This window comes from Homo sapiens, chromosome 15 (assembly GCF_000001405.40).
Source record: "Homo sapiens chromosome 15, GRCh38.p14 Primary Assembly".
In the NCBI taxonomy this organism is placed as follows: Eukaryota; Metazoa; Chordata; class Mammalia; order Primates; family Hominidae; genus Homo; species Homo sapiens.
Window position 1 is genome coordinate 67,576,175 of NC_000015.10, and position 22,694 is coordinate 67,598,868.

The following is a 22,694-nucleotide window of genomic DNA, read 5'->3' on the forward strand; positions in this document are numbered from 1 at the left end:
CCAAAGTGCTGGGATTACAGGCATGAGCCACTGCTTCCATCCTTCTCTCTTTCTTAATAGAAAATTTGTGCCTCATAAACTTAAACTGTGCTGTTTTGGAACTCAAGTTTTTTAAAAAATATGGCAGATTTCCATGAAGAAAAAAATGTAATTATTGATTGAATTGTGCCATTAGCATTAGAATTAGATTTATAACAAATATGAACACTGTAGTAAACTTGCAAACAAAACAAAGCAAAAAATTGTACTTGTTATCCCCTTGTTGAATCTGGCCCTCTGTTTCAAATTAATTAGATTTTTGGTAACTATGCTAAACTTTGTCACATCCTTATTAAAATGACTGAAGAATTTTGAAGAACAGCTCAGAGGGACTCTGAAACTAATCTGAGTCTAGTACTGGAGATTCCATTAGCAATTGCAAAGCTGATTGATCTTTTACCCAGTTAGCTTATTGATTATCGCTGCAGTTACTGCATGTAACGGATTATGCAAGGGGTAACAGGAGAAAACATATTTTATAATTGCTGCTGATGTATTCAGTTTGGACACAATATTTCATACTCTATATAATTATTTCTGCATTTTTAAATGCTGCAACACTTCTAAGATAGAAAGTTTGCTTAATATTGTTTCAATATGAGGAGGTGTACTTTTAAATTTCTTAACTAATAATGCATTACAGTTTACCAAGTGCCTTCACTAATTTTATTGCTGCAGTTTAATTTTTGAGCCTCACAGTAACCCTATATATATATTTTTTTTTTTTTTTTTTGAGACGGAGTCTCGCTCTGTCGCCCAGGCCGGACTGCGGACTGCAGTGGCGCAATCTCGGCTCACTGCAAGCTCCGCTTCCCGGGTTCACGCCATTCTCCTGCCTCAGCCTCCCGAGTAGCTGGGACTACAGGCGCCCGCCACCGTGCCCGGCTAATTTTTTGTATTTTTAGTAGAGACGGGGTTTCACCTTGTTAGCCGGGATGGTCTCGATCTCCTGACCTCATGATCCACCCGCCTCGGCCTCCCAAAGTGCTGGGATTACAGGCGTGAGCCACCGTGCCCGGCCAGTAACCCTATATATTAGGGTAAATATTTTTATGCTCATTTGGAGGAAACTGATGTTTAATAAAGTTAAATGTCTTCCTGAAGGCTACACAAGTTAATGAGTGGCAGACTTAGAATTCAACCCCATTTCAATCAGTAAATGTTTATTAAACACCTACTATGTGCAGAGCTTTGTGTTAGGGCTAATAAATGCCAGGATAAGATTATAGACCTGAAGATGAAGTTATTTGGATAACTTGAAGTAATATTATGAAGGTTACTTTGTTACATTTCTGTCCAAGCTATTATGTTCAGTATCTTAGTGTACAAAGTTTAGGGGTGTTTTTTTGGTCGTTGCTGTTTGTTTCTTTGTTTTTTTCTTTTCTTTTGGTTTTGGTCATTTCTGCTTATTTTATCACTATTTAGAACAAAATTGGAGAGAATCCCTTTAAAGGAAGAGTATATAGAAATGACACTAATAGATCCAGATCTAAAAACAATTTGCTGGCCGTGTGCAGTGGCTCACGCCTGTAATCCCAGCACTTTGGGAGGCCAAGGCAGGTGGATCACCTGAGGTCAGGAGTTTGAGACCAGCCTGGCCAACATGGTGAAACCCCATCTCTACTAAAAATACAAAAATTAGCCGGGCCAGTGGTGGGTGCCTGTAATCCCAGCTACTTGGGAGGCTGAGGCAGGAGAATTGCTTGAACCTGGGAGGTGTAGGTTGCAGTGGGCCAAGATTGTGCCACTGTACTCTAGCCTGGGTGACAGAGCAAGACTCTGTCTCAAAAAAAAAGAAAACCCCAATTTGTTTTGCAGTTTATTACTTGCTGTCTTCTCTGTTTTCCCATGTGAGCCTCACAGCTATCCTCTGGGTAGAGCCCGTCTTGATTTTACAAATGAGTAACATGAGGCACAGTGAGCATTTTGTCATGGAGGTCACATGCTTGGAGACAACAGTTAGTGATGGAGCTCCTGGGTTTGAGCCCTCTGATTCATTCATGTGCCTTGCTCATCTCACTGAGCAGCATGGACCTGGTGGCCGGTCAGGACTGCTCTGTGCTAAGAGGTACCATGCATGGCCCTGCATTTTATCCTTATCCCATGGGGAATGCTCCGTAGGCAGTAGCCTGAGTTTCTAGGCCTAGTGCCTTGTTGGTGGCTGTTCCTCAGGGGCCAGTTGTGTAGGGCCCACACTGTGGTTTTGATTACCTCCCTTTACAGCATGTCCTTGATGGTGAATTACTTTGCTATGTGGAACATAAGCTTCTCTATTAATACAGACACAGATCAAATGCAGTAGTCCAGCAGGAGAAAATATACTTGGATTTAGAGGAAATATAAAAAACAAAAAACACAACCTAACTACTCGCTTTAGAGAAACTGTTAAGTGGCATACTTGATATCATTACTGTGACTGTGTTAGTCGTAGTACAGAGAGATGTTTATAGATGGCTTAAAAATTCTCACAATGATTATAAAAGTGTATATAGTTTGCCAGTTGATTTGGCACAGACCTAAAATGAAAGGAAAACCATTTTTATTTATTTATTCTGTGAGGTAAATAAATAAAGCTGGAAAACAGGTCAATTTCATGCATGCGAGGTTTTATAGTAGGAAAAAAAAGCATTGCACCTGTTCTGACCCTTTACATTTGAGGTTATTTGTTTTCAAACTTGACCCCAAGCACCAGTTTTAGACATCTCTATAATTAACTTGTTAGATAAAGCATAAGGATATTTTATTTGTCTTTATTTCTAGGATAATGGCAAAGTAGTAACTGAAATTACTAGCCTATTGTACATAGCAGTTAATTAAAGAAAAGCATTAACTATAGGAGAACACCACCACTGCTGTTGTCTTGTATCAGTACAAAAAGGCAGTAATTTTTTTGACAGCCACTGATTGGAAAGTTGCTTGCAGCCTTCCAGAAGCAAGGGGGTACATGCTGTGGATCAATAACCGGCAAATTTCCCATTAAAAAGAATACCTGAGCAATGTTCCAAATAGCCACTGGCATCTTAATTTTCCATGGAAACCTCAAATACTTGTGTGCCGAGGACAAGTCATTTTCGGACAATTTTTCCAGACTACTTGTTAACAGTTATTGCTGTCCCAAAAGGTTGACAGCCTACATGATTGATATTTCATTTACTTGTCATCACTGTTTGAGTAATGGCGAGTGCTGTATTTCTGTGGTTTTAAGGAACAGAATCTCCTGAAAGACATTTGCCTTAGTATGTATTCCAGAGAGTGTTTCACATGTTTATGCCGTATGTATATAAGTTTTTATGTCTGTAGAAGGAGAGAATCACTTTCTTTACAGTTTGAAACCCTTTGGAGAGCTGGGTACACTTTTATCAGTGTGTAGCTATCCAACATCCACCTTCACTTTATTTGTTATTAGTGCGAACAGCCTTAGATGTATTAACTTGTGATTCCCAAAATGATGTGGCATTTTATAGCTCCCCTTTATTTTCAAGAGGAAAAAAAAAACCCTTGCTCTTGTAATAATTTTAATGTACATAAAAGCAATAGGAAGATATATGTGATATCTTCTAAAAAAAAACTTTTAAAGAATGTCAGCAAACAATAGTAATCAAGGAGGGATTTCCTAAACATATCGTATTTAAATAATATGCACATGTTTTTAATATAGAAACAGTGAGGATGAAAAGGATGTTCTGCTCTTTGACAGCCCCTCAAAACATAAAATCAGCAGTTTTCATTGTGGATATTTTTCCACTAGGAGCATCACTTTGTTATTTGTCGAGCATTATAAGATGTGAGAGCACAGAAGCCATCTCCAAGTTAGGTGGACATATGCTTACAAATTAGCGGAGTGGTAATCAAACCACAGTACCACCTACTGAATAATTTGTGTTTACTAAGGAGTGTGAAAGCTTTTTCACTTAGAACTTTATTTTTTGTGTGCAGAATTTTACAGTGCAATTTGATCCGTACTAAAGTGTTTATAAGGCTAAAGCATAAAAGGTATGTTTGTTTGAAACTAGGCTACCTTTTTATCATGTTAATCCTGTCATCTTTGGATGGGTCATATTTTGTTTGCTATTTCCACAGTCTCTGTGATTTCGATTTCCATTATCTGTGCATTTTATACACAAATTGAATAATGTTTGATTAACTGGCATGTAGGTCCAAGCCCAATGTGAAGCTTCTTCATTTTGCTTTGCAAAATCCAGGGAAAAAGAGCAAGAGGCAATTTGGGAAATTCCACTAAAATGCTTTATGTGTCGTCTAAATATATATCATTTTCAAATATTTCTTAAATACTAATATAAAGTCTTAATCAACACTTTTACTCTTAAAGATAAATGCCAGGGTGAAGGCTAACACACTGGACTTTCAATCCTAAATATTCACTATAGTCATTTTGATGTGCCAGTAGGGGAAAAGTATTCTCAAGGCTGATATGTATATACCAGCAATTTACAAAAGTACTGTGAATTAAACAACCCATAAGTGTCTGTTCCAGTATTCATACATTACTGAGTGATCTCTTTCTATAATCTCTTTGCAGTATTATTCCACAGTAATGGAACAGCAAGTAAATGGACAGTTAATAGAGCCTCTGCAGATATTTCCAAGAGGTAATGTTGAGCAAATTCTAATCAACAATGATTATTTCAGTAAACTGTTTCATCAACAGTTATGTTTCCAAAGGTTTAAATGCACATAACATGATGTTTAGCTCTTAATTCGAAAAACAAAAGAAGTATTCATTATCGTGGGGATTGCAGGCTATATTATAGTTATGGCAGATAAAATATCTAATTTACTAGAGTAAATTAAACTAACTAGATTGTTTTTTGTTTTTGAAGTACATACTTACATTAGCTTAAAGAACTCTTTTGGGGGTCCACATGGTTTCTAAAGCAAGGCAAATGAATGACTTTAATTCTGGATATTTATAAATTGTGGCTCATGATGGTGGCCAAAGCTGCTATTGAGGAGAAAGCTTTCAGTTAGCACAGAAGCGAAGATTTACTGAGGTGTTAGGAGAGAAATTTTGGTGGAATGTTTGGTATCTGGTTTTTTGAGGAGGTATTTTCTAAATAATTGAAATTCTTCATAAATGGAAATTTGATTATCTCCAAAAATATGAGCTGATGAGAGTAAGTTTCAGTGAATCACTTGGTCAGATAATTTTCTTTTTCCCTTTTAGGTTTGGCAGTACTATCCTTGTATCAGATATGATTGTTCAACCGTGTATAAATGTTCCCTCAAAATTTGAATAATGGTGAACAAGAACAGTTTAATTATATAAACCATTAAGTCTTTCACCCGTTATACATTGCCCCACTTGGAATCCATGTTTTCTAACTAATGGAACAGATAAGGAAATTCTCTAAGTAACCCTTCTAGAAATAACTTAATTGAAATAATTAAAAGTTAAACTTACCTTCGTTAACTGATACTGTACAAATAATCATGGTATGAGTTTTCCAATTAAACATTCTAGACTTTCATTACCTGTAACTCTCTGAAGTTTGAATGGCTCAATTAACCAGTAGGCTCCTATTTGCACTGATAAAGTCTCCAAAGGCAGCTGTCTTGGCCAACCCACAAGAAGATCTGGGTTCAAGAATAATACTGCTCTTCCAGCATATGTGTGGGCAGCAGAATCAGGAGTGCTTAGTATATTACTAGTAACTTATTGAAGTGCTAAGTAAGTACAGTTGGGCTATTTAAGGCCAGTGATAGTCCAAAACAAGGATTGTGATTAATCCACTTCTGTTGTACTTGAAGATTAAGCACCAAAACAGAAAAAAAGAAATGTTGCTATTTCTGTTTATTAGTCCAATGATTAGGATGTAGATGATTTCTTTTTTTTTTTTTTTTTTTTCGAGACAGAGTCTCGCTCTGCCACCAGGCTGGAGTGCAGTGGTGCAATCTCAGCTCACCGCAACCTCTGACTCCCTGGTTCAAGTGATTCTCCTGCCTCAGCCTCCTGAGTAGCTGGGATTACAGGCTCGTGTCACCACACCCAGCTAATTTTTGTATTTTTAGCAGAGACAGGGTTTTACCATGTTGGCCAGGATGGTCTTGATCTCCTGACCTCATGATCCACTCCCCTCGGCCTCCCAAAGTGCTGGGATTACAGGCGTGAGCCACCACGCCCAGCCAGGAGGCAGATTATTTCTTAATGTTTGCAGTGACTGGAGAATTTGGGCAAGTTTCAAAATTCTTTCTTCACAAGGAGTAGTATTTTACAAACTGAAAATTTCCATTAATTTCTCTATTGACATTATAGCTCTGCCATAGAAAACCCTAATTGCAGTATCCTGGAGAAATATACTTCCAGGCAGGGCACAGTGGTTCATGCCTGTAATCTCAGCACTTTGGGAAGCTGAGGCAGGTGGATTGCTTGAGCTCAAGAGTTTGAGACCAGCTTGGGCAACATGTCAAAACCCTGTCTCTACCAAAAAAATACAAAAATTAGCCGGGCGTGGTGCACACTCCTGTTGTCCCAGCTACTTGGTGGGCTGAGGTGGGAGGATGGCTTGAGCCCAAGAGGTTGAGGCTACAGTGAGCCATGTTTGTGCCACTGTACTCCAGCCTGAGTGACAGAGCAATACATTGTCTCAAAACACACACACACACACACACACACACACACACTTCCAATGTTGTGGGTCTTCATTTGTCTCTAAAAAATTTTTTTTAGTTATCTTCATCCAAATTCTTTCAAGTTTTGTTTGTTTTCTTTCCTTTTGTGAGCAGTCCTGTCATTCTCACTGTTCATCGCATTATGCTTCTTCCCATGATAATCACAACCATTTTTAGATGTCTGCTCTGTTAAGGCATTAATATTGCTTTACGCATCATCATCTGTAATCCTCCTGATAGTTCTGCCTATTAGGTATTACTGTTTCCAATTTATAGATGAGAATATTGAGATTCAGAGAGGTTAAGTAACTTCAGAGTCACACAGCTTATAAGTGCTTACTATGCCCTTTGAGTAAGAATTTCATTTAAATTATAATATGATTAAAATGGAAAGGCATATATATTAAAATATAATTAGAGTGTGCATGGGAGTAGTTTGGAGGGCTTGTTTTGGAGTGGAGAGGAGTATGTTATGGGGAGAGGATACTTAAAGGAGGAAATTATATGAGATGTCATTGTCATATGTAGTCTTAGCATAAAACCCACTAGGCTGCAATAAATTGTTAAACATAGTCTTTCTAAGCCAAATTTAAATATTTCAGAATATGAGACTGTCTTTTTATTTCTGTGTTTTTTTAATATGCTATGGTGTAATTGTTTCTAGTTTTTGGTAGTCTTTTGCTTTTTGCTACCTGTCTACATCGAATGTACATTTTATCATATGTAGATAAGTGAAATTATGCAAATTTACATAATCGACATGTAGACATACTGGGTATATTTCCTGTGTCTACCTAGTTGGTTAGAGGCCCTCAGATCTTAAATTTTATGGTTAGGCCCCATGTTAAAAAGAATCTTTAGACTGAACAAGTAGGAAGGATAGGAGAAAATGATTGTTTCCTTATTTATTTATTTATTTATTTATTTTGGAGACAGAGTCTCACTCTATCACCCAGGCTGGAGTGCAGTGTGTGCTCACTGCAGCCTTTATGTCCCCAGGCTGGAGCAGTTCTCTCGCCTCAGCTCCTGAGTAGCTGGGGCTACAGGCATGTGCCACCACGCTGGGCATTTTTTTTTAATTTTTTAATAGCGACAAGGTATCACAGTGTTGCCCAGGCTGGTGTCAAACTCCTGAGCTCAAGCAATCCTCCCACCACCACTTCTCCAAGTGCTGGGATGAAAGGCATGAGCCACCATGCCTGGCCATAATTCTGATGTAATAACATGTTCTCCTCATTCCAAGTAGCACAGTTGCCTTGGATAGTAACTCCCAGGTCATGGCTAAGTCCTCTACATTGTTAAAAGATATGTTAAATATTAATAAGTGTGAACATTGACTAGCTTTATAGTAATTCCTGACCCGATAACTTTAGGAAATATGAGGTTACTGGGTTTTTTGACTGCTGTTTACATCTCCAGTTATAAAAGTTTGAGAAGTCAATTGAGGAGTGAGGCAGATGTTAAGGTTAGAGATAAGAGTTGATGTTTGTCTCTGATTCCTTGGCTAGCCACTTTGTTTAAATGAAATTTATGAATGCACTGCTTACTTCAGTGGAAATATTTTGAAGTGTTGTCTTAGGAAGTATTGATGGTCCCTCAAGGACCAGACGTCAAATGCATGTGACTGTAGTTCAAAAGGTTAATTTCCATTTTAAGGAAAGAAGATTTTGAGTCTTAATTTTAATGCATTTTAGAAAGGCAAGTAAAAACATTTTGTTATGGTTTAGATATATTTTCTAGGAAAAATAACATAATAAATTTGAGTATATTTGGAATATACAAAATGAAAGCAACTGCAGTGTTTTGTAATTATTACCCATATCTTCTCCTTTTTTTTTTTTTTTTTTTTTTTTGACACAGAGTCTCGCTCTGTCGCCCAGGCTGGAGTGCAGTGGCGTGATCTCAGCTCACTGCAAGCTCTGCCTCCTGGGTTCACAACATTCTCCTGCCTCACGACATTCTCCTGCCTCAGCCTCCCGAGTAGCTGGGACTACAGGCGCCCGCCACCATGCCCAGCTAATTTTTTGTATTTTAGGTAGAGACAGCGTTTCACCATATTGGCCAGGTTGGTCTTGATCTCTTGACCTCATGATCAGCCCACCTCAGCCTCCCAAAGTGCTGGGATTACAGGCTTGAGCCACTGCACCCAGTCATTACCCACATCTTATTATTAAACAGCTCTATTTCTTGTTGTCAGAAACAGGAAAACGACATGTACATCTGAGAGAGGAGCAAAAAAAAAAAAAAAAAAATCAAATTAATTCGTCCCCAAACAATCAATCAAAATTGATGGCCCCTTAACATACAATTTGTAGGGCACTATAGTTTTCAAATAGAAGCAGTCTATAACATGGGCAGGAGGCTTTTGTATTTTTAACATTTGTTGAAGAAGCATTTGCTGAATTGGAAAAGTACTAACCTGTAACTCAAGATGGTGTCAGGAAATTAATATTCTTTTTTCCTGGCACTGCCTTATCTCTAGGACTAAATCTTAGCATATGTCAAGATTTGCAAGAAATGTAATAAAATTAGTTATATATCTGTATTTTAATACATTTGACTGCTTATGGCTGTGCAAAGTAGTATTCAAACTAGAATGTTCCATCGTAGAATCCCTAGCAATCTTTTTGGCATTAAAACATCCTTTTCTCACCCCGCTTGCTCACAAAAAAATCCCTTAGCTCTTTTCAAAGTAGTTTAAGTGATAGCAGATATACAATGTAATAGAATGAGGACAGATTGCAGAAATTTGAATTATGAAAGGAATCTAATCATTTTAGCTCAGTTAACTTGATTTTTATATGTTTTAAGCAGAAATTGGAATTTATATGAGGTGGTGTCAGAAAGCTCTTTGCATTTATAAATGCTCACTCCTGCAAGTTAAAACCCTGGTTCATAATTCCCACTTTGGGTCTTGGGAGCCACTTTTCAATCATTTCTCTCTGCTAATTTTGGTGTCACCCTCATTTCTTTTTAAACGATTCATTTTGAGCAAATTTGTAAATGGCCCTGATGTGTTCTACAATTTAGTCAATTACTGTTTCAGCCTGCAAGCCTCCTGGGGAACGGAACATACATGGCCTGAAGGTACGAATTTCAATAATTGTTTCAGTAAAGTTAGATGGATTTGTAATGCTGTGTTCCACTTATTGAAATGTCAAATAAAACTGCACTTTCTCAAGCTCTGACAAGCGATCCTTTTATTTTTTTTAAATGGGAGGTGGAGGGGGATTCATCTGTAGTATTTGCTCAGTATGTGTATATATTTGCATACTGGGGGTTTGGTACTGTATTTTCAATTATTTGGAATTGTTTTGTTGGTCAGTGTCTTCAGGATAATCCTAGGTGCTGGTATCTACAAAGATTTTAGTAAGAATATAGACTTCATTTCAGTGATTAATTAAGCACATAAGCATATTGCACATGGAATACCCTCTCTTGACATATTTATGCTAGAAACATATATCTAGTTAATGTCTTTTCATTCTGTGTATTTTGAATTCTGGATTTCTGTTTAGGGCTTCACATCTGAAAGAAAAGCTGGCTTTTGTATTAGGCTCAAATATTTCATAATTAATTATTTGGACCTCATTTTTTAGTGAATAAGAAACATTCTACATACAGTGTTCTGCTTGGTTGCAGAGCTGGAAGGATATAACTTGAGGTTCACTACTAACCCCTGGGTATATTCTTAATGTACTTTTTGAACATACTGTTTTTATATGTATTCTAGACAGTGAGTTGGATTTTCACACTGTTTATGTCTCCTTTTTCATCACTGTTTAAGTATTTAATGGAATAATGACAGGAATAGAATATTATGTAATGTATGGGTTATACGGTTTTGTAACCTATATACTGAATAGACTCCAACTGTGGGTTTGTCTAGCAACAAGCTAATTAACCTTCATAGTGAAATGAGAAATTTGTGGCAAATTATAGGTTAATTAGAACTGTGTCCTCAGAACACAAGACTGATCAAGATTCTTTCTTTACTTATAGGTGAATACTCGGGCCGGACCCTCTCAACACAGCAGCCCAGCAGTCTCAGATTCACTTCCAAGCAATAGGTGCGAGCGAGCAAGTAAAGTGTGCCCTTGATGTGATTTATCTACAGAGTTGGGGTGGGGTGGGGAAGAAGCTAGAAAGAAATTTGACCAGTTAGATAACCTAGCTACGTATTGACCAAAGAGAAAGGACCTCATATGGAAAGATGAATGTTTAGATTTAGACTGGGTGCTGAGAAGGCTCTCTGGGGAGAGTGACGTTTCTGTTTTGACCTGAAGAAGCAGAGAAGGGCGTTTCAGACGGAGGGAAGAGGGTAGGTGAAGGCCCTGAGGTGGAGAAGGAGCTCAGCATGTTTGTGAGTAGGCCAGTTTGGCACAGGGAGGGGTGCTGGGTTGGGGAAGGGATTTGGAGAGAGGAGATGAGAGAGCAATAGGAGTGATAGGAGCTAAGGAGGTAGACAGGACTTATCATGCGGGGCCTCGTAGGCCCTGTAATGTTTGAATTTTCCTTTTGGTGCACTGGCTAGCAGTTAGAGGGCTTTTAGTAGGAGAGGGACATGGCCAGCCCTGTGTTTTTAAAAGATCCTCTGCCTGTGGTGTGGCGAATGAGCAGAAGCTCCCATCTAATCCTGCCCTCCTTTAATGTTTGACTTCCTACTCCTTGCCAAATGGTCATCAAATCTCTTACTGAACATCCCTGTCGGAGGAATGCACTTTATCAGCCAACGCAGCTCCTTCCCTTTTTTACTTGGCTACATCTCAGAAGGCTCTTTTTTGTGAGCTGAGATTTGTCTTTCTATAGCGCCCACTCATAACGTTTTAGTTAAGCCCTCAGAACGTGGTTGTTCCCTCTTCCAGGTCAACAGCTCTTCCAGTTGTCTTCCCTCCAAACACAGTTCTAGATTTTCTGTCTCAGTAAATTCTCCCACATCCAGTCCATTGCTAACTCCAGATAACTTGTCAGTCCTCCTTCACTGCTTCCTAGGCCTCCCTCAGTGCCACACCCTGTCAGTCCCCACACTTGTGGGTTCTACCTTCTGAGTAGCTCTGCGTCTTTCTACTCGCCAGCATCCCTGCTGCTGTGTGGGTGGTTCCAGCTCTCCAGATCACTGCCACAGCCTCCTGAGAGTCTACTCCCTCCGTTCTTGGCCCATTCAGCCCCTCCTCCACCCTGCAGCTGGAGCCATCTTGCCAGTGTACAGTCCTGAGCTGCAGTCATTCCCTGCTTTAAAACCTTCACTGCTCTTCATGCTTTCAAGATGAAGTGTAACCTCCATAGCAGGTGAGCAGTGAAGAGCCCTTCACATATGGGTGCTCTGTGTACTCCAGCTTGCTGGCCCACCTCTGTACCCCATCCCACCTGACATTCCAGCTTTGCTGATGAACACATAGTGCCCTGAATGGATCACTTTCTTCTCTCTACTGGGCCTGCACATTTTCCCGTTTTCCTGTTTCTTTTCATCCCCACCTTGACCTTCAGTCTGGCTAACCTTGGTTATCTTTGAGGACTAAATTATCTTCTGAGAACTGTCCCTGATTACTACCCATCCCCAGTGCACACCAGGGACCTCTCTAGGAATTCCTATGATACTCCCTTCTTCCTTGTATTGTAGTAGTGAGCACATTGTATTATAATCACCCCTGTCCTCCAGTAGATTCTATACTATTTGAGGGCAGTGACTGTAGCATATTCATTGACAAAGTTCCAATTCCCAGCATGATGCTTGCCACATAGATTATAGTCAATCATGTTTGAATGAATGAATGCATGAATGTATGTATGAATTACTTGTATTTCTTTTACATCTTACCTCTGGACTAAATTCTCCCAGCTCTTTCATCTTTTCTGATATGACATTATTTCTAGTCCCCTCATCCTTTTCTCTTCTTTGGATATCTCAGTGTCTCTCTTCAGGTGTTGTACTCAAGTTACAGTTGTAACACATTTAAATTTTAAAATGTTTTTATTTTATTACTTTTTTAGAGATGGGATCTCCCTCTGTTGTCCAAGTTAGAGTGCAGTGGCACAATCACAGCTCGCTGCAGCCTTGACCTCCTGGGCTCAAGTGGTCCTTCCACCTCAGCCTCCCAAGTAGCTGGGACTACAGGCTTGCACCACAATCCCTGATTAAGTGTTTTTTTTTTATTTTTTTAAATTTTTTTAATTTTTAGTTTGTAGAGACGGGGTCTCACTGTGCTGCCTAGGCTAGTCTCAAACTCCTGGCTCAAGCAATTTTCTCACTTTGGCCTCCCAAAGGGTTGTGATTACAGTCATGAACCACCACAGCTGGCCTTTAAATGTTTTTAAAAGTGATTTTTGGATAGCTTAGGTCACCGTGAACATGCAGATGAATGAAATATTGAGTAAAGTGAGTCACAGAGAAATTGCCAGGATACAATTTTTTCTTTTTTTTTTCTTTTTAACCAGACAAAGTTGATAGCCAGATACTAGCATAATGAATGAAACAGTATTTTCCTCTATTACTCTCAAAGCATGGGTTGTTTTTTCTTTTGCCTTAGGTGAATAACTGTTTATTAAACTGGGTTTACTAATGCACATGGTGTTCCTAGGCCATAATTACTGAATTCAAGTCCCATTGCCAAGGCAAGGCCTTTCCTAAACTACTTAGCTTTCTCCTTCTGTAAATTAGGATGATTAAACTTTCCATCTATCTACTGCTGGTGTTAGAAAGATTGATGAAGCTGTATTAGGAATCACGTTTTATTTCTTGGATGAAAGGCATTCTATAAATGCAATGAATCAAAATGTTATTAATTCAAGTTTATAACATAATGGAATATCTATGTAGAAACCTTGCCTGGGCTTTGTTTGGTTATTTGCATCTTTACAATAATTGGAACTATCAACTGGGAGTCATTTGTGGGAAAACTAGGATCTGAATGTTTCCCAGAAAAAAATGTGTGTGTGTGTATGTGTGTGTGTGTGTGTGTGTGTGTGTGTGTGTATAAGAGATAGATGGACTTCGAGCAAGATCTGTACCTTAGAGGTCTGTATTTTAGTATCCTTTATAAATTAGGGATAATAACTATACCTAAAGTATAGTTATTATAAGGATTAAATTAGGATAATAAGCATTTAGCACAATGCCTAGCACATGGTCATCACTTGATAAATAGCAGCTGCTATTATTATGTTAACTGGACTGATTTTAGGCAGCTGTGTATTTTTTCCATATATGTTTCAGCTTTCATCCTATTCTACAAAATTGTTAATTGCCACTTTAGTGCATCGATTCTTAGATGTGGTGGGACATTAAAGTCAAGAACCCTTGGATGAAGACATGCTTTATAAAATCTAGGAAAATAGGGACTCAGTCTCCATAGTTTACATTTGACCATAGCAAAAGTTTAAGATGTATTTAGAAAGAAGAGTAATTATAACTTGAAGTGGTAAAATGTGATCAAACTTGAAGTCTGAGATTCTCTCAAATGTAACCTATTAAAGGTGCCAAATGGAATATGTGTATTTCATATTAGGTCTTGAGTCCTTTCTCTTTTTTTCCTTTTCATTTCTTCCTTTCTTGCTCCTTCCTTCCTCCCTCTCTCCCTCCCTCCCTCTCTCTCTCCCTCCCTCCCTCTCTCTCTCTCTCTCTCTCTCTCTCTCTTTGTTTCTTTTTGAGACAGGGTCTCATTGCTGTCACCCCCCCATTCTGGAGTGCACAATTACGGGTCACCACAGCTTCGACCTCCTGGCCTCAAGTGACCCGAGTAGCTAGGATTACAGGCACATGCCGCCATGCCTGGCTAAGTTTTTAATTTTTTTTAGAGATGGGGCCCTACTATGTTGCCCAGGCTTGTTCTTGAACTCCTGGGCTCAAGCGATCCTCCTTCCTTGGCATCCCAAAGTGCTGGGATTACAGGCTTGAGACGCTGTGCTTGGCCCCTTTTGTTTTCTGATGTATTTATGATCTTAATGTCTTACTGCATTACTACTACTGCCACCACAGTATAATAATAACCAGAGCAGCGACCACCATTTATGGAACCCTTAGCATATGCCAAGTCATTGGGCTATATTTAAGGGTGAGAAGAGAGTGGAGTATATAGAATACGTAAGATGTGTCTGTGTTCTCAGGGAGCTCCCAGACTCTCCCCTGTTGGGGGAGGGTATGGTAGGAAGAAAGACATCTATACTGACAACTAGCATGGGTAGGTAGGTAAAGGGCTAAAGTGGATAGGTTAAGAATAGAGTTGGCTGGGTGTGGTGGCTCATGCCTGTAATCCCAGCACTTTGGGAGGCCAAGGTGGGCAGATCACGAGGTCAGGAGTTTGAGACCAGCCTGGCCAACATGGTGAAACCCTGTCTTCGCTAAAAATACAAAAATTAGCCAGGCGTGATGGCATGCACCTGTAGTCCCAGCTACTTGGGAGACTGAGGCAGAAGAATCGCTTGAACCCAGGAGGCGGAGGTTGCAGTGAGCTGAGCTCACACCACTGCACTCCAGCCTGGGTGACAAAGCGAGACTCTGTCTCAAAAAAAAAAAAGTAGAGTTAACAGGCTTTATTATTATTATTATTATTGAGATGGAGTCTCGCTCTGTAGCCCAGGCTGGTGTGCAGTGGTGCGATCTTGGCTCACTGCAAGCTCTGCCTCCTGGGTTCACACCATTCTCCTGCCCCAGCCTCCAGCTGGGACTACAGGCGCCGGCCACCACACCCGGCTAATTTTTTGTATTTTTAGTAGAGACAGGGTTTCACCGTGTTAGCCAGGATGGTCTCAATCTCCTGACCTCGTGATCCACCTGCACCAGCCTCCCAAAGTGCTGGGATTACAGGCATGAGCCACCGCGCCGGCCCCTTAACAGGCTTTAAATCTCAAATAGAACATTGCTGGGGGAAGGTGCTATTTTAAATGCTACTCTACTAGTCAGGTAGATATTCACGGGTATAACTCATTATAAAGCTAGATGACTTAAGAGCTCCCCTTGACTACCATTTTTCTTCAATAAGGACTTTCACGCCAGGGGTGGTGGCTCCCGCCTGTAATCCCAGCACTTTGGGAGGCCGAGGCGGGCAGATCACCTGAGGTCGGGAGTTTGAGACCAGCCTGACCAACATGGAGAAACCCCCAGCTTACTAAAAATACAAAATTAGCCAGGCATGGTGGCACATGCCTATAATCCCAGGTACTCTGGAGACTGAGGCAGGAGAATCGCTTGAACCTGGGAGGTGGAGGTTGTGGTGAGCCGAGATCGCACCATTGTACTTTGCACTCCAGTCTGGGCAACAAGAGTGAAACTATGTCTCAAAAAAAAAAAAAAAAAGGACTTTCACTAAATTCATCCATATGAGTGTTAACATAGTCATATATGTTCAGAAAACACTTTAATACTTCCTAAATAACTCTGGGAGCTGAGTCTCATACCCATAGGAAAGGAAAACCAGCTAAAATTTATTAATTTTATTTGTAAAAACACACCTGCTATGGACAAGACACAGTGCTAGATTTTTTGTAATATTTAATTTTTCTGGTTACCCTATAAAATTGGTATTTTCCCCATTTTACAGAAAGAGGAAATTGAGGTTCAGAGAGGATAAGTAACTTGTCCCAGATCACACAGCTAGTGAATACCAGGATTTATTTGTACTACATATTTGCTTCCCAGGAAGCTGAATTATAACTTTTAACTGTGTAAGAGACCAGGACTTAAATTATCTATTTTGTCTTTTGAAGTTCTATAATCTTTATTTGCTGTGAATATTAGTGCTTAGCAGATGACATTGTCCACATGAAATTGCCTCTGAAAGGCTATCTAAAGGCAGTAGAACTAATGACCATAAAAATGTCACTGAAGTAGTTCATAAGATATTGTAGCTTCATCTTGACTGTAGGCTTCTTTATTGCTTTTGATTACTAACAGGGTTTTAGTCTCTTTATTTGATACCTTTTGCATTTGGCCAGTTACTTTTGAAAAAAATTTACATTGGGAGAAGGATGTGAAGAATATGCTCAATCCCTATATGTAAAAGCAAAGGTGTATTTCAGTCTGGAATTTTCAGTGGTGTTCAGAGGTGTTGATGATCTTGCCACTAAAAATTATCTTTCCTTTTCAGCTTAAAGAAGTCTTCTGCTGAACTGAAAAAAATACTAGCCAATGGCCAGGTAGGTATTATTATATATTAAGATTTTCACATAATAATAACATATTACCGTCCAGTTTTTGTATCCATAAGCTTATTAAACAGATAAAGAGTCTGTGAGTTTCCTGTCATAAATGAATAACATGGCTTAATTTGATTGGCAGAACAATTTGCAGCCCGTTTTTCAAACTGTGCTAATGGGTTTCACTCCCAGCAGATTGAAGTACCATGCACACACCCTGCTGCCATCTCAGTTTTTAAAAAGTTAATCAGTTCTGAACAAGTGTGTCAACTCGTGGGCTGTTGAAATGGCCCTGCATTCTGAGGTGACTGTTTCTTTCATTATCTTTGGGGAGAAAAGGAAAAACCATTACTTTCTCACCTTAGCTCCTTCTTTTGTCCTGAAACTAACACTGGCTTTTTAGGGAGGCAGAGTGACAGCAGACCTTTGGCATATAAAATTCCTGGCCTTCAGGAGACCTTAGTTTGCCTAGTAGACTGGCCATCTAAAGCTGAATGACCTAACCCAGCCAGTGAGGGACAAACAAGCCTTCAGGCCAGTTATTTCTTACTAATTTTGATTCAAGTAAATGGACACATCTGAAATAGTAGAGTGCTTTTAAACATACACTGGTAAATTAAGCTACCTACAGGGTCCTCGATTCTTCAGTAGCAACATAAATGCGTTTTAATGTTTGTTATAGTGGAAGCCCTTTGATAGCCTTGGAGGCAGGCGCCTGTCCATTGCGATCAAGCCTGCCTATTAGGCTGTATTGACTGAGACATCTGTGTCACTGCAAATAAAAGACTCTTATTGATTTTCTTAACTGCTGTTCACTTCCCGTCCATGTTTCGAAGGCTGAAATCTTAATTATCTCAGATGCTTATTCAGTGCCTTCACACACTGACCTCTCCAAGCCTCACTGGCATTTCATGAATCAAGTACTTGTAGTGGAGCATGTCAAGAAGACAAAGCCAGGTCCTCATGCCTGTCCTTTAATATCACCTGTAACATTGTGGCCTAATAGATGTGCATGCCTTAAAACAGTGCTGTATGGTAGTGCTTCTGGAGGCCTTGCTTATTTAGCACACAATTCCTTGAATACAGTTAGAAGAAATGAAGTTGATCTGCTTCTGACATCTGATTGCCATCCAGAGTATGTGAATTCTAGTCCTTAAATATCCTATATACAGCTAAGGAGAATCTAGTGTGGTGTATGTATAATCTTTGTAGTCTCAACATTTTAGATAGTATTTATCGAATACCTTTAACTTTCAGCAGCCAAAGGTTTGTTTAGATTGAGGTCCACATCTGTATCACCTCAGTGCCTTATATTTTGTTAGAACCAGCATATATAAACAAAATCTGACTAAAAGCAAAAATATTGAGCCTAGGATATTTATGTATCTTCAACATGCTTGCATTCTAGTTACTAATTGTAATTTATGTATGAGTCACTGTGTTCTTCAGCTGGAAAATATATTTCAAAATTGACATAAATTAAGAAGCTTTAACTACATTTGTCCAGCCCAGACAATGGAAAATAACCTGTCATAGACTCTTCTTTCAAAAATGAAAAACAGTTTTTTCCACTGCAAAAAATAAGCATTTTCATAATGTTTTGACAAAAATAAGCAGTCTCATAATGTTTTGACAGTAAGCCTAGTACCATAGATATCTTAGTGGCTTCAGTTATGAGGTTCTCTATATGGTGGGAGGTTGTCCTGGCAAGGATTTTTGACACTTAAATGTTTATTGCTTTCCCTTGGGAATGTGATAACCTCATATTAAATAATATGGCTTTTTTTTTCTTTATAAGGATTAGCCTTTCTTACATTTACTTGCACTCAAAAAATTCCCTCAAAAACCAAAAAAACCCACCTTTGGAAGCTTTCAAAATGTCTCCTTCTAATTCCTTAATTCCTCAGTGCTATAGGATAACTAAACAGTGAGTGAAATTGCATTGCAGTGAGGTACTGTGCACAGTTGTAGGCATCAATAAATTTCTGGGCTGAACACTGACACCACTTGATAGGGAAGATAAAAGTCACATTTAATGATACTTTAACACTTGAGCATAGTTTTTTATTTTAGTGGTTTATGCTCTCAAGCATTAATAATGATTTGCCTTTCCACTAGCCTCCACTTAGATTTAATAAGGAATTCATATTAATCATTAAAAGAAAGGGACATGATTCTTCAAGATAATCAAATATTGACAAGTTAGAAATAGCTTTCTGCCTGGGTTCATTGATATAGGTTATGTGATATAAATATTTATTTCTTTTCTGTCACTCAGAGTAAATGCCACCAATTGATTCAGCATTGATATAGTGTCAACAGTTCATAAGAAACATTTGACTGGCCTGTGTTTTCCGATTAGTCTCTGCTCTATAAAGTGGGATTTACTAAATCTCTCCAATTGTCTGCTCATAGAGTGTGACTGCTTTCTGAAACCATTATTGCTTCGATTTGTGAAGCAAAGGTCTAGTGATGGGACTAGTTTCTGTCAGACCTTTACATATAAAATAAGGATTAATTGAGCATTTTTATTTTAATGATTTATAAGCGATAGGTACTGATTCTTCTTAACACAGACAATAAACAAAGAATATTTTCTGTGTTGATCCATAATTGAATTCCATTTCATTTTTTCCATTAATTTCATTAATATATTAAATCAAGCACTTTAAAAAAAGTTTAACACTTAGTCTTTGGAATGGAGACATTGTTTTCCTGTTATCACTTTATGTTGGAGTAATTCCATTTTTCCAGCTTAAAAAAATAAATCAGAAGATATTTTTGGCAAGTTTTATTGAGAGCTATAAATCAGTCTCACTGATGTGTTTTCTGGATTTGTTTTTCCTACTTCAGTTATAGTGTGGCATCATCTGTTTAACATTGGCCCTTGATTTGAAACTCATTAGAAATAGCCCAAAGTGTCAATTTGAAGAATTTAAAAAGTGCACAGTTACTCCAAAGATATGTGAGTTTGGCCTTTGCATCTCTAAAGTTATTTTTTCTTTTTTTTTTTTTGTTTTTTAGATTTTATAGGAGAGGGTGGCAGTATTTTCCTATTCCTGATAAATCAAGTATAAATCTACTCAGATCAGATCTAGAACTAATTCTGGTCCAGCTGCATCTTTTGGCTGTTATTTTGATAACTTCAAAAAGCCTCTAGAAAAACTTTTTGTATTTGGCTGGGCGTGGTGGCTCATGCCTGTAATCCCAGCACTTTAGGAGGCCCACTTGAGGCCAGGAGTTTGAGACCAGCCTGGCCAACATGGTGAAACCTCTTCTCTACTAAAAATACAAAAAATTTGCTGGGTGTGGCGGCCCATGCCCAGCTACTTAGGTGGCTGAGGCATAAGAATAGCTTGAACCCAGGAGGCAGAGGTTGCGGTGAGCCAAGACTGCACCACTGCACTCCAGCCTGGGCAACAGAGCAAGACTCTGTCTCAAAAAAAACTCAACAACAACAGGAAAACCTTTTTGTATATAGAAAAAAAAGGGAGGGGGAATATATATCTACTGTAAAATTTAAAAAGTTTAAAAACTGTATCATTACTAGTATATGTAACTCTTAGATTCTTACAGTTCATCTTGGATTGCATATGAAGAGTGAAACATAAATGAGGCTGTGTATGTAAGTCCAAACTACACAACAGCCCTCCTTTACCCACACAAACCCAACCTGACTCTGCCCATGGGTTGTTGCTGTCTCTGTTTCTTTTATGGCCCCTGCCTCTCTTTCAGCAGGAGCAGAGCTCAGTGCCAGTCATTTCTCTAAGGTCATTTGCTATCTTGGCAGTTGACATGTAATTGTAACTCCTGTGGCTTTTTCTTCCTCCTCCTTCACATCTATTATTCTGCCTTTTATTTACTTTTTTAGTCAAAACAAGGAACCTGGACTGTATTTAAAAACTACTTGGAATTGGCCGGGCATGGTGGCTCACGCCTGTAATCCCAGCACTTTGGGAGGCCGAGTCGGGCGGATCACGAGGTCAGGAGATCAAGACCATCCTGGCTAACATGGTGAAACCCCATCTCTATTAAAAAAATACAATTAGCTGGGCATGGTGGTGGGCGCCTGTAGTCCCAGCTACTCAGGAGGCTAAGGCAGGAGAATGGCGTGAACCCGGGAGGCGGAGCTTGCAGTGAGCCGAGATCACGTCACTGCACTCCAGCCTGGGCCACAGTGTGAGATCTGTCTCAAAAAAAGAAAAAAAAAAGAAAAAAAAAAACTACTTGGTATTGTTGTTGAATAAAAAGCTCTCCTTCACCTCTTTTCAATTTAAAGAGCTGTGTGATTTTAAAAACATTTTTCTTCTTAAAAACTAACATCGTAGCTAATGAAATTTCTTTTAACTTGTGTCTTTCAGTTGATTGTTTACCATCCTGTGGGCCAGTGGCCATTGATAGGAATGTCCCTCCATACTTAATACCGGAGACAAACTGCTGAGCTATGATGTTGAACTGGAGTATACTGAAAGACTGAGTTTTTGACTAGCTATGTAACTTAAGTAAAGTGGACTAAATGGTCTTAGAATGCTGTAAATTTCTGTGATTTTTTAAATGATACTTGATCCCAACTATAATATTTAAATACAATATTCCATAAGCTTCTAAATAGCACTTTCTTATATAATGAACACTCTTCCTATGCTTCATTTTGAAAAGTCGAATTAATATCCTTATCTAAATGAAAAAAGCAGAAATACTACTGGTTGATTGTAGATCCCTTTAATGATTTTTTCATAGTTAAGATCAATTAAATTAGCCCATTTGATAAGAGATATGAAGTTCTAAAAATATTTTTTGTAATCAATTCTTGGGCTCTGCTTTGTTTTTCCCATCCCCCCCAAATTTTTTTACATGAGGAGTATTTGTACAGCATATAAAAATTAGAAAATACAAATAAGCAAAAAGAAAAAGAATCTGATATTTTTTAATATTAAAACACAGTCAGGCCGGGCGTGGTCGCTCATGCTTGTAATCCTAGCACTTTTGGGAGGCTGAGGCAGGCTGATCACCTGAGGTCAGGAGTTCGAGACCAGCCCGGATATCATGGTGAAACCCCATCTCTACTAAAAGTACAAAAATTAGCCGGGCATGGTGGCGTGTGCCTGTAATCCCAGCTGCTCGGGAGGCTGAGGCAGGAGAATCATTTGAACTTGAGATGTGGAGTTTGCAGTGAGCCAAGTTCACACCACTATACTTCAGCCTGGGTGACAGAGTGAGACTTCATCTCCAAAAAAAAAAAACTAAAACTAAAACTAAAAAACTGTCAATCAGTTCACAGGCCAAAGGTTTGCATAACTTTAAAACATTGTAGAAAGACATTATAGGAACACGTTGCTCACTTTTTATAGATACTAAGTGACATGGTTCCAGAACTTGCTCTTCAAAACCATTTTTATCTTTATGAGACTCTTGCAATCCTCCTGGTTATCTGAAGGATTCCATATTTGTCTTGATTTTTTCCATTCTTGAATTTGTTTAGACAGTGTTAATTAATGCACATGCACATACACTTGAAATAAACATTCTCCCTCTCCCCTCCTCCTCCCTGCACTCCTTCCCCGCCTGTGCCCTGACAGTGTTGGATGCTTACTACTCCTTGTTAGGTTGGAGTGCTGGGAATGTGGATTGGGTAGCTTCTTCCCTTCTCTTTTCCCTGTAGTGGATGTAAGTGGTAAAAAGACTATGATGTCAGAATTATACCATTTGAACATGCTCAGAGACATGCCATACCTACCCCTTTGCCTATGAAGTGGTGGAGGGGATATGACTGCAGACTGTGGCCCCTCCAGAGTGTAGACTCTATCTACTACATAGCAACTTCCTGCTTACTCTTAAACCTTAGTGCCACAAATGCAGAATTTGTGTACTTGAGTGAGTGAAATGTCTCTCGT

The 22,694-nt window shown here is 39.0% G+C and overlaps 1 protein-coding gene across 8 annotated transcripts in view; it reads left to right on the forward strand.

The window, feature by feature from the left end:
• Nucleotides 1-22,694, forward strand: part of MAP2K5 (mitogen-activated protein kinase kinase 5) — a 264,412-nt gene that overhangs the window by 33,472 nt on the left and 208,246 nt on the right. For all 8 annotated transcript variants that reach the window (XR_007064474.1, NM_145160.3, NM_002757.4 and 5 more), the window contains exons 4-7: nt 4,580-4,649; nt 9,716-9,756; nt 10,672-10,739; nt 16,752-16,800. Coding sequence is in view for 7 of the 8 variants with exons in the window: in NM_145160.3 (NP_660143.1) it covers nt 4,580-4,649; nt 9,716-9,756; nt 10,672-10,739; nt 16,752-16,800 (228 nt within the window). In the remaining variant the exon portion in view is untranslated. The remainder of the gene's footprint in view (nt 1-4,579; nt 4,650-9,715; nt 9,757-10,671; nt 10,740-16,751; nt 16,801-22,694) is intronic.